This window comes from Homo sapiens, chromosome 12, assembly GCF_000001405.40.
Source record: "Homo sapiens chromosome 12, GRCh38.p14 Primary Assembly".
Lineage (NCBI taxonomy): Eukaryota > Metazoa > Chordata > Mammalia > Primates > Hominidae > Homo > Homo sapiens.
Genome location: NC_000012.12, coordinates 65,831,660 through 65,844,334, shown reverse-complemented (window position 1 = coordinate 65,844,334; position 12,675 = coordinate 65,831,660). Strand labels below are relative to the sequence as shown.

General features: G+C 37.0%; 1 protein-coding gene across 5 annotated transcripts in view; it reads right to left on the bottom strand.

Annotated features, from left to right (window-relative positions):
• Positions 1-12,675, bottom strand: part of HMGA2 (high mobility group AT-hook 2) — a 141,832-nt gene that overhangs the window by 121,957 nt on the left and 7,200 nt on the right. For 4 of the 5 annotated variants that reach the window (NM_001300918.1, NM_001300919.1, NM_003484.1 and 1 more), the window contains exon 3: positions 5,766-5,816. In NM_001300918.1, coding sequence (NP_001287847.1) covers positions 5,766-5,816 — 51 coding nt within the window. Of the gene's footprint in view, positions 1-811; positions 1,745-5,765; positions 5,817-12,675 lie in introns of those variants that run through there. The other variant, NM_001330190.1, reaches the window with a different exon arrangement.

Sequence of the window (12,675 nt, the reverse complement as noted above, 5' to 3'; positions counted from 1 at the left end):
ATGCATCAGCAAATTTATATTTAATTACTAAGCATGTATTTTAAAAATGCAGTTGCTTTAAAAAGAGCATCTCCTGTTTTTTAAAGCACGTGATAATGGCAAGGGTCTAAGGGAAAATGATTTCACCTTCACACATTCCATTAGCAGACAGTTTTTGATGTCATATCAAAGTTATTTCTTCCCCTCTGACTCCAGTACAAAGTTGCAATTATCTTCAATCTGCATTATTGGATATCCCTTTCTAAACATTGCAGTTATATATTTCTTTTTTTTTTTTTTTTTTTGAGATGGAGTCTTGCTCTGTTGCCCAGGCTGTAGTGCAGTGGCATGATCACCAAGCTCACTGCAACCTCTGCCTCCCAGGTTCAAGCAATTCTCCTACCTCAGCCTCCTGAATAGCTGGGACTACAGGCATGGGCCACCACACTCAGGTAGTTTTTGTATTATTGATGGACATGGGGTTTCACCATGTTGGCCAGGCTGGTCTCGAACTCCTGGCCTCAAGTGATCTGCCCGCCTTGGCCTCCCAAAGTGCTGGGATTACAGGCATGAGCCACCATGCCCAGCCACTTTCAACAAGGAAAGTCTTAAATTACAAACAGCTAAAAGTTTTTGTTTTGTGTGTGTGTGTGTGCTTGTGTGTGTGTGTGTGTGTGTGTGTGTGTGTGTAAGTAGCAAACCTCTCTGGAGGGAAACAGTAATGGACATGTAAAACTTAATGTTTTAGCTTCAAAATCAGATTTCCGGGTTCTTCAATGCATTAATGCTTGGGATCTTTAGAATAAAGCCAAAGAATTCCAAAACCAAAGAATGTGTGTAGTAGATTTTATTTTGATTCAGTTCTCCCTTCTCGATCCTCAAATCATCACTTAAATTTCTAGATTTCTACAAACTAGGGGAAAAAAACCCTTGCTGTCTTATCTAAAATCCTCACGTTTGACTAATATATAAAATTACATCACTTTCCTGTGTATCACAAGCTCTTTAATAAGAGAAAGACAACTGCCCCCCTTCAAAAGCAATGGAATGGAAATGCATATTTTTTAATCAACGTACTGCACACACCCCATTACCAAATAAAGGGAATCAGCAGCCTGAGAAACCAGCTGGGGATTGCTGGGATCTTTCTAGTGACCAATTGAAGTGAACTTTAAGCATCTGGTCCTTGGATCAATTTCTAGGTCAATCTTAGTATCTCCAGAAAGATATTTTTCTTATAAAAACCATTAATTCATATAGGGAAATATTTTTCTTCTGTTGTTAATTTCCTTTCTTTTAAAATATTCTGAGAACAAAACACCTAAAAGTATCACTTGTTCCCATTGATGTAGTCTTCATTATTTGGTTCTTGCTTCTTTTCCTCCAGAAGCACTAGCTGCATCACTAAGCAACATCTGGATGGAGGATTTTATACATGAGGTTAACAACTTTATTACTTCATTGTATTCTTGAGCCTGAGCCCCACTCTCTAAAACTTTCTCCAAATACTTTCCATCACTAAACTAGGTATGTGACGAGCTCCTTTCCTAGGCAAGAATAGAAAAATGCAAATAATTAAATGCCAAATTTCAATTGGCAGGACTGGCTAATGGAATTCTATAGAAGTTCTGAGAATCAGCACATCTCTGTATGTACATCTTGAGGCAAACAGCAGAAATACTTCTTTTCAAACTGATGAACACCACATGACACCAAATCTCTGCTATTGGAAGAAAGGCTTCTAAGCTGCAATGTAAAACTCCTCCTTAATAGCAAAGAGAATTAAAATGTTCTTTAGTATTATTTATAAGCAGTTCTTAAACTTGATTAATATTCAGCATAAATATATTGAGGACATAATGATACTGTCAAGGGTACTTGGTTAGTCTGACATATAACTCTGTTACTTCATTCTATGTGTAACTACTGGTGGCTGTAAGTAATTAAGGTTTAGCCTACAGCTAATGTCAAAATGAAAGTGTACAGTGAAATTAATCATAATTTCCAACATTTACTGAGCACTACCTATGTGCCATGCTCTTTATTAAGCCCTTTGCATGCATTATCTCATTTAATCCTTACAACTCTATGAGAAATATACCTTTTGCAGATGAGGAAACTGGACCTTTAAAGGTCATGTGATTTTCTTAAGACTCCAGTTAGCTAAGTGACGGACCAGAATTTGAACCCAAGCCATCTGAATCCAGAGCCTGAGCTCTTAACTATAAAAAGCCAGGAAAAAAAGAGACCCAATTTACCTCTAGCCTCTTCTACACACACACGCACACACATGAAAATCAGACCACCTCATAAAAACAATAGATCTGAAATCCAGTTCAAACTAGGGGGATAAAAAAAAAAAAAGATGAAGGGAATTAAAGTAAACAATAGAAGTGTTCTTAAGCAAATCTAGTTAACACACTCGTTAGATCACTGAATTGGCCAATGCTTCATCCCCTCTGAAAGCAAGACTGATGCAAGTTTCTCTCCCACACCTACCCATATGGATCCCAATTACATCAGATCAGAGGATTCCTCGGTAGGTATCTTTTCCCAGGCCTCTTACATGAATCTATAATATCTACTGGAACAAGTTTTAGAAGCACAAGAACTTTAAAACAAAGCAAAATATCCCACAAGAATAAAAGGGGAACAATTTGGCTTCTAACCCATATACCTAATGAATCCAGTCGGTTCAAAAATATATCTCTAACTCAAGGAAATCGGTGAATGACACTGTTGGAAAGAATTGAACTTGCTATAAAGTATAAGCCCATTTCCTATGGAAAACGCAATGATTTATTTCTTCAGCACAAGCTTTCCAGCAAAGAATGCCATTGAACGGAATGCCTTGCTGTGACTGGCTGCATACTCTACCCAACAGAAGATATACAAGCAAAGAGGAAACACACTGTCTAGAAAAAATATACAATTTCCTTTTATTTCCTCTTCTCAGTAGAACAACTCTTCTTTGGGGACCAAATCAGGGACTTGTAACAATTCACCACATAATATTTTCCATTCTCACAGCCAGTAAAAATTAGAAACCAGGAGAGTCAAAGAAAATGGCCCAGCTATTCTCAGAAAGGCAAGGATTTCTGTGGTGGGGGCCTCACATGTGCTTCTTACCCAGCAGGAAGATCTGATGCCTGAAATCCAGATCCCCCCTAAATTAGCAAGAATCCGTTAAGAAAAAAAACATATATATCCTTTAATTGCTCTATAGTTTACTCCTGCTTGGCTGAATCATCAACTGTTTAAGGATGTGTGGTGAGAAAGAAAACTGTAAAGAAAGGTAGATGTAAACTGAATGACTTCGAAGTACTAGGGCAGGCTGTAATTAACTAGCTGGCCAGATGTGGAGCCATAGGAAGGTTCGGAGAAGACAGGACTCTAACCTATGGAGGTGAATTGGTGACCATTATAGGACAGCCCAAGGGCAGAGGAGATGAAAGGCTGAGAGAGTTAAGAGGCCCCATATGATGGAGGTTAGTTTGCTGGTTAACTGCCACTGTATTCGCTTGCAATTTAATTTCATTTTAGCCACATTAATCCCATGGCTTCAAAGAACTCATCTATTTTCTATTATGTTGCCTATTAGAAAGATTATACACGTCTTTCTTATTAATTAGTTCAATGGTATGGGATGTCCTTTCAGAGTTCTGATGCTTAGAAAACAGCAGATCTCTATTTGATATGTATGCCAGTATCAACTTAGTCAACAATGTGCTCATTAGAGTATAATGGAAGCAGCAGTTTTTGACTTCCGAGTCTAAGGCAAAAAAGGCCTTGCAGCTTCCTCCTCAGTTACCAGAAAATTCCCAGAGGTAGTCCTGAGTGCATGTAAGAAGCCTGATTATCCTGGGGAGGCCATGTATGGGTGATCCAGTGCACGCACTCCCAGATCCGCCCAGATTTCCAGCCAATCTTGATAAAGCACCAGATTTGTAAGTGAAACAGCTCCAGATTCTGGATCCCAAGTATTAAAGTCATCCCCTGATGCTTGAGTCTTCCCAGTGGAGGCCCCAGACATCATGGAGCAGAGACAAGACTTTCTGCTCTACCCTGCCTATCCTTGACCCAAAGAATCCATATGCATAATAAAATAGTTTTTTTACACTATTAAGTTTTAGAGTGGTTAACTATGCAGCAATCGATAACTGGAACCATATGTACAACAAGGAAGGTGATAAACCCACTGTTTATGGAACCCACACTTGAAATATGATATTTAGTTCTAGGTGACATCTTTCAAAAGATTAACGAACAAACATGTTCAGAAAAGAATAACAAGAATGTTCCTTTATGGGGAAAAAATGAGAAAACTGGAGTATGTGTTACATACAAACACAGATACATACAAACAGTATGTGTTAATTGCCCTCAACCGTTTGCAGGGCTATCATGAGTGAAAGTGAAAACAATTACTCTATATATTCCCAGAAGGATGACCTAGAGACAGTGGACGGAAGTTACAGGTAGTCAGATGGAACAATTTTCTAATGTGCAGAGCTTTCCTAGAAGAAAGAGGCAGCCTTGAGAGGTAGCAAGTTCCCTAACTTTAAAGGTAATCAAGCACGCTAGATGATCACCACTTGATAAGTAGGTTTGGAGAGAACTAATTTAATGAACAGAAGGTTGAATGAAATATCCTTACTTTAAGGTCACATTTTAACACTGAGATGTTTTTCATCTAAAGATCATCCCATTTCCTTATGCTAAGAAATCTAATCCCAACACATGTTGAGCAGAGGAAAAATATAAGATGAATAAATTAAAAGAAAGGCAATACCAAAGTATAAATAGAAAGTGATGCAGAACTCTAGAGGAGAAAGGAATGGCAAACAGGAACATATAATCCAGCATAACAGAAAAAAAAAATCTTTTTAAAATTTGAAGCATGAAGAAAGAATTGAGGAAGAGGAAAAAGCAAAGCCAAAGAACCCATCATATGCAACACTGGGTATAAAGGATGCCCTCATCCTTCTTGAGAAACGATTTCATTCATTTTTAGGACTTCTTTTCTCCGTCAGTGGGAAAGACAGACCAGAAGAACATGGGTAACACAGCAAACAAGGGAACAAAGTTCAAGCAGTAAAATTAGCAAAGCTCTTCAGTGACCACTGAATTTCTGGCCTCAAAAGATACAGGATCTGTGTGCCTATAGGATCAGGTGCACTTGTATGGATACAGCTATCTCTAATGTTTGCATGTGGAGAATGACTACTAAGGGAAGCAAGAAAAACTCAAAATAAACCCTTGCTTCCTAACAAAGCCATGTGAAAAAGAAAACACAAACCATCTAGAAAATGAGATGTGTCCAAACAAAAGCCATGGAGAAAACCAAAAAAAAAAAAGAAAAAGAAAAAGAAAGAAAAAGAAAAAAGAAAAACGTTAAAAAGTTATCACATACACATTGTGTATGAATTTTAACACCATTTGTAATCAACTTCCAAGGCTTCATAATACCCTTTAACTTTAGTTACTCAATCTACTGAACAAATCATCTCATTGTTACCCTATTTGAAGGAAGAGTGGAGCCTCTTTTGATGTTGATAAGAGATAGAAAAATGAGTCCACCTTCAGGAAAGAAAAGTGTTCTACGTAAACACCTGGAGCCTAGTGGTAGGAAGTGATGATAATTTGTCTCTTGACTTAACCCTTTCAAAGATTCATCAAACCAGAAGTTGGAAATTCATGTAATCGACGAAATAAAACTTTTCTCATTTAATACAACAGAAATTTTTCTTTAAAAAAAAGAAGAAAAATTATATCTTATTACTCACCCATTTCCTAGGTCTGCCTCTTGGCCGTTTTTCTCCAGTGGCTTCTGCTTTCTGCAAATGAAAAAGGAAGTCATTATAGTTTTCTACCTGACATTGTTTATAAGTACTGCACCAAGGGACACATTTGAAGTAAGAATGTTCTGCTTTGCAGATGACGTATCGGTTTTTTTTTTTTTGTTTTTTTTAACAAACTTCGTCTCCTCTAAGGTTAATCTTTTTCCACATTTCTGAGTAGATTCTTCTTCATTGCATGATGTAAAGAGGTATCTATGCAACCCCTCGCCCTAAAAGACACCCCCTGTAGTGATCTCTTCTGAAATACATGAAAATGCTTTTTCAAAAGCTATTTTGCTTTTATTTCTGTCCATATTAAAAACATTATCCCCACATTCTGTAACTACATAAGTTAGTATTTTAGAAAATTAATATTTCTTAAGATGATCAAGATTCTTTCCATGTCACAACTAAAGTTGCAAAAATTAATATTGACATATTACTTTACAATTTACAAAGCTCTTCTACCTATATTGGTAGTCAAAAGCAAGTATAAATGTGAAAAAGAATACACAAGCATTCTAATTCAAAATAACAAATATTTGCACACTTCTACATGTTTAATTTAATGTTCCTTGCCTGAAACAATCACCTGTCAATCAGTTCACCTAAAGCAGAGGAAAAAAAAGCAGGCAGAAATCATCAGTTTGTCCCAGTGATTAAAACTATATGTGCCTAGAAATAATGATTAATTAAAAATGTACTTTATTAACCATAATCCCACACTTAACATGAATACATTTCTATCTTGAGAGTTTATTTCATTGCTTTACTTCACAGAAGATTTTTCTGATATCACAGTTGTTAACATTATTTATAAAGCAATTAGTTTTTCCGTTTTTGTCAGCCCTAGTCCAATCTTCATACACAACAACACACCAATACACACACATATCACATACATCTATAAAAACGTGTTCCTGCTTTTTAGGATAAAGAAAACTTAGTACATATTGTTTCATGTATAAGAATCATCCATGGCTATATTAACACACAAATACAGGTAACTTGAACCAGGATACCTTGTTCCACATTTTACTTTTGTTATCTGAGTTAGCAGCCGGTGGGGGTACTTGGTACAGTGATATTGACTGTCTACACTGCCAAATGAAACTTTCCTCTTTTTCTCTTCAATCTGCCTGGTAAAAACAAATAGCTTTACATGATAGTTGACAAACAGATAGATGGATAGGCAGATAGACAGACAGGTAGATGAGAGATAAAATAAGCCACAACATTTCTCACCAAATAGTATCTCCCTGATCTGGCATTACTATCCAACAGGTCCCATGAATTAACGCAAACTCTATATGACTGTAATGTTAACTCACAAATATTGAGCATTTAAAATATCCCAGGCACTCGATTGTCAGTCACATGTGTTACGTTAATCCTTACAGCAGCCTTATAAAGTGGGTATTATTATTCCTCTTATTTTGTAGATGAACAACTAAGTCTTAGATAGGTTAGGTATACAACTGGCTCAAGGTCACAAACAAAGCAGGTAAGTGGCAGACCTGGGATTTGAACCCAGTTTTGTCTAACTGTAAAGACTGTGCTCCTAGCCTCTTAACAATGCTACTACCCGGTAGTATACAAGCATTTGCTACCATAAAAAAATACTTTAGGAAACTAAAATTGTCACTGATTCAGTTAATTTCCCAGGACAAAAGAAAACCTGGTAGCCTTTAGGGGTTCTATCTAACCATCTGATTTGGACACTCTGAATCATTGTTTATTATCACTTTTGAATGGCTCCACAAAGGAATCATTTGTTGTCAGAGGTTAGTGGCATTGTCTTACCTTCAGTCCCAAGGGCATGAATTTAGCGAAAGCCCAGAGTGTCAAGTAAATAATACCCTCTTCAGAGCATTGCCTCATGGAGAGGGAGGTGCCCTGAGAAGATCACAGACTCTACCTTGGAACGCTTAGATTCCAATTCCTGCTCTTCCATTTTAGCTTTATGACTTTGGGCAGGTCCTTGAAGACCTCAATTTGGTTTCATCCGTGCAATGGAGATGACTCCTCCTGTGAGACATCATTCCTAGAAGTACTTAGAAGTTCCTGCCTCCCATGAGGTGCTCCATAAGTGTTCTTTCACTCCTAACTAGATGGAACCCTTAAAGGGAGTTTTTCTTTTTTTTTTTTTTTCTTTTTGAGACGGAGTCTCGCTCTGTCGCCCAGGCTGGAGTGCAGTGACGCGGTCTCTGCTCACTGCAAGCTGCGCCTCCCGGGTTCACTCCATTCTCCTGCCTCAGCCTCTCAAGTAGCTGGGACTACAGGCGCCTGCCACCACACCCGGCTAATTTTTTGTATTTTTAGTAGAGACGGGGTTTCACCATGTTAGCCAGGATGGTCTCGATCTCCTGACCTCGTAATCCGCCCGCCTCTGCCTCCCAGAAAGGGAGTTTTTCTTCAAGTTAGTTTCCTCTCACAGAAGCCTTGGTCAATGCAAGTATTCCTTCACACCCATCTGTCACCTTTAGAATGAGGCTTTTAAGGATCCCTTTGGCTATTGCATAGTGAGTTATACATGAGTGTGGAGTTCTCTAGCACAGAAGCAGCATCTGACTTAATCTTTGGAAGCAACTGTAAGATTGCACAGTTAACCCAGTAGTAAATTACACAAACATGGAAAATAGAAATCCTTTTTATTGAAAAGGGGGTGTGAAGTCAGGGTGGGAGAAGGAGCCTATTGACCTTAGAAGTTAACAGTGCTACACCAGGCTTTTTCTGCACGGTTGTTATGTTTCAGGGGCCATGATGTGATCTGGGTGTATCTAAAATCTATTGAAGAGAGAGGTTTTTTTTCTGAAAGAGTTTCACTGTATTTCAAAATCAGAGAAAGCAAATCTCTCAAAAACAGAAAAAGCCCTGCAAATAAGATGACTTTTAAATGAGCATCTCATTTACAAAAAGCCTATTGAGAAATAAAATTTGCACCATTAACTAAAGGGCAAAATATCACGATTATCACTCGGACTTGTTAAAAGCAAACTTGCTCCTTGGTCGTTCAGGCCAGTGTTACATGTAAACTGAAACCCTCTTCTGAGACTACATCTAGAAGAAACACATTAGCTGTGCTGTGTGGCGTCAATCTGGGAGGTTTTCATTGTTCTTTAAAACCCACATTATTTAATCATTCTAATCAAACTCCACAAAGGCTGCAAAACAAGTTAGGGTTTTAGTTTGTAAACCAGCTTAGATCCAGGATTTTTACATATTGGAAAACATCAGCTTTAATATTGTTTTCCTGTGTTTAATGCTCTTCAGGATATTATTTTTCAAAAAAGACAAACAAAACATTCAGGAGGCTTGTTTTGTTTTAACATATGCAATACTGTAGAAGTGTATATTTGGTTTTCCTTTGCCAGAATAGAATTTGGCTTTATACTACAAACCCATGTATAACAGAGGCATAACTAATTCTCACTATTTATTGCTCACATCAAGAGAGAAAAGGGAGATATGGTCGGAATTCTCATTGGTAAGAACTGAAATTTCAGACTGTTACCAGCACTATTATGCGAATATTTACAACAATCATATCTCATTAAAAGTGTCATTTCTCCCTTGTTTGCCCTCATTAATATTTTTATGTTTTAAACTTCAGATTCAAAACTGTACACTTAATTTTATGATATATTTAGAAGCAAGTCCATGAAGATTAGGAGAAATGTTAAATGGGAAATATAATTATTTCTTTCTCTAAGAAGTTCTGTACTCCAGGCTCTTCAATGTACTGCATATTTTAAAAACTAATTAGGAAAGAAATTCACTAGCAAATACATCTCTTGAGCTTGAAAACAGTGCTTAGCACTAGTGCCTCGTGTACAGGAGGTGTTCACTATATACTTGTTGAAGGAAGGGAAGGAGGGAGGCAAAGAGAGAGGCAGGGAGGAACGGAGGGAGGGAGGGAGGAAGGGAGGAAGGGAGGGAGTGAGGGAGGGAAGGAAAGAAGGAAGGAAGGAAAAAAAGGAAGGAGGAAGAAGGGAGGGAGGGAGGGCAAGAGGAAAGGAAGGAAAAGTGTTTATATGTGTGTCTTATTTCCCTCTTATCATCAGAATTCTAGAGTTCAGTAAAACTAGAGATAATTTCACCTAGCCCTCTCATTTAGCAAAGAAGAAAACTTCTGGATGTGTTACAATTCCCAAAGACATAGCCCCATGATATTATTTGGGAACCAGAAGTCTTGTGGGTATCAGTCGCAGAAGGCATACATTTCCAATCCCTTTATAACCTTTGGAGTGGCCCTTCAAAGGTTTCCCAAAGCGTAATTTCCAACCTGCATTTCAGGTTACTGGAGATAACAGAAATCTACCTTGTAACAAATATTTTACAGAACATTCAGCACATGGTAGTGGAAAGAGTATAAGCTTTAGAATTAAAGTGAATTCAAACCCAGGTGCTACCATTTACCAGAGTTGAATATCAGATATGTCCTGTTTACATCTTTGAATCACAGTTTTCTCATTTGTGGAATGAAGACCACAATGCCTAAATCAGAGGATTAAAGGAGCTAACATATATATAAAGTGCCTGACAAAAGCTATGGCATTTAGCACTTAGTCAAATGTAATTTCTTTTCCCTCCCCTTATTTTAAAATGCTACCCACAAATATAATACTTACCAATTTTCTTAGTTTCCAAAGTGACTTTCCAAGCATTATCTTACTTCAGTAGGGCAGGGCAGGTGTTACTTCCCGTTTTACAAATGGGAGATTAAGCAACCTGCCCATGTTCACAGGTAGTAGAACTGAGACCCAATCTGATTTCAATGCAGTGAAGTGTCTGTTCTTTGGAGAGCTATTCCCATATAAAATAAAACTGCCATTCAAAAATTTAAAAAATAAAAGATAACCTTCTAGGGTGAAAATCAAATTAGTTAAAAGTAATGTATTTCCAAGTTTCCTATAAACACATGGACAAGAGCAGAGGTTGGAAACTAAGAATAATTCAATTCTGACTTCAGGGTCAGGTTTAGGTGGCTATTAATTTTTTGCTATTACAAGTTCTCTCATCATTTTTTTTATGTACTGTGATATAGCCAGAAATCCCCCACTGCAAATCCATCAGTGCATCTGTACCAAAAAAAAAAAAAACTAGAAAAATATTTGGGTGTGATGGTGCCCTGTCTTGTTTGCATGTATCTTGATTTGCATGAAGCCCACTATCCAAAGCCTAGAAAGCACATTTTATTTCCTTCAGTTGCTATTTTTAAAAATATAAACAGTATAAATCAATGTACACTGATATCAAAATCAACTCTACGAATCAATCCCACTAAGTACTGAGGAAATTCTCATTTTACCTTTTTGATAATCCAGTTCTGTAAGTTTCCTAATTTTACATGCAACACTTTTAGCCTTGAAGAGACATTACAATTTGCTATCACAATATATTTTCCAATAGAAAATATAAGTAATTTCCATCACCCATTGTAGTTCCTGCCTATTACCCAAGTTAGCCTTTACTGTCAACTCTGGTGTCCTTATTTTGCACATGCTTATCTTCATGTATACAAACACTAAATTAAAACCAAAGCCAAATGACAGGCAAAGTTATCATTTTCAAAGTTTAAGATTCTTCTCCTCCAAATCTTCTCTCTACTTCTTTGTAATCATAAAAATCAATAGCAATGATACAAGAGATCATTGCTATTGATCACAGGAGTTACCTTCTGAGCAAACATGATCCTAGACAAAAGAGAATGCCTGCACTACTCTTCCCTAATTTAAATAGAATATGCCATTCAAAATTGCTCAGTGTATTAAAACAATATGAAATAATGCAATGCCCTAACAAATAACAGTTCTCTATTTCCCCTTTTCTCTTGGTTGGCAGAACAAAGATTCATAACTAAAACCTTCAGAATCAGTGAAATTAATTCAGTTTCCACTTTGTGCCTTCTGCTCTGTAAACTGCAGAAAGTCAACTAACAAGACAAGACATGTTTGAATGATTTAACTGACATAAAATCCTCTTCAGCACCCATCTATTCTCAAGAAAGAACTGAAATGCAATAGAATACCAATCTGGTATATTCTATCTCCTTAGCAAAATGATCTGTTGAGAACTTGAGATAAAAATGAGCCAGGAATGTAGGTCAGCCAGAGAAATGAGGAGACTTCAAGTTCAGAAGAGTTCAGAAGGATGAGAGCTTCCAGAGAAGTAGAACTATAGGTCCCTTGAAATAAAATTACTTCATAAGATAATTCAAATGTATTTCAATCTCCCATATTTGGATCATAATCTGTGATGATTAAAAGCATTACCAGATAGAATGTGCTGGTGCATTAAGTAAGGCTTTGTCTTCCCTGGCAAAGTGAAAGAAAAAAATTAGTCAATTGTTTAGGTAAGTCAGCCTAAATATCAAGATAATGGAACAACAGTTGGACTTTACTTAATTTCACCTGCTGAATTCATTTGTATCCTCAGATAGGGCCCTGAATCCGCCTGAATTCATTTGTATCCTCAGATAGGGCCCTGAATCCCACAATAAAACTTACCTGCCCATTGAAACACAGAGGAATTAAACTAAATCATAGTAGTTTAATTTAGAAACCATAGGCCAGAATTATATGATAACTTCCAAAGTTACCTTTCCTTAACTCACCAATAATAATGTCTTTGGTTTCTCCTTTTAATTAGGCCTACTATATTCTGAAGAAAATTCTGTCCTCACTCAGCATTTATGCTGAATGATTTTTCTGAAATGGTGACTAAAACTATCTTCTCTCTTTTTAAAATATCTGTGATTGGTGTGGGTAATGATTATGAAAAGCAAACCACATTTCGAGAAATGCAAATGATTAGAAGGAGCATGAAGTAGTCTTTACAGTATCTAATTAATTCA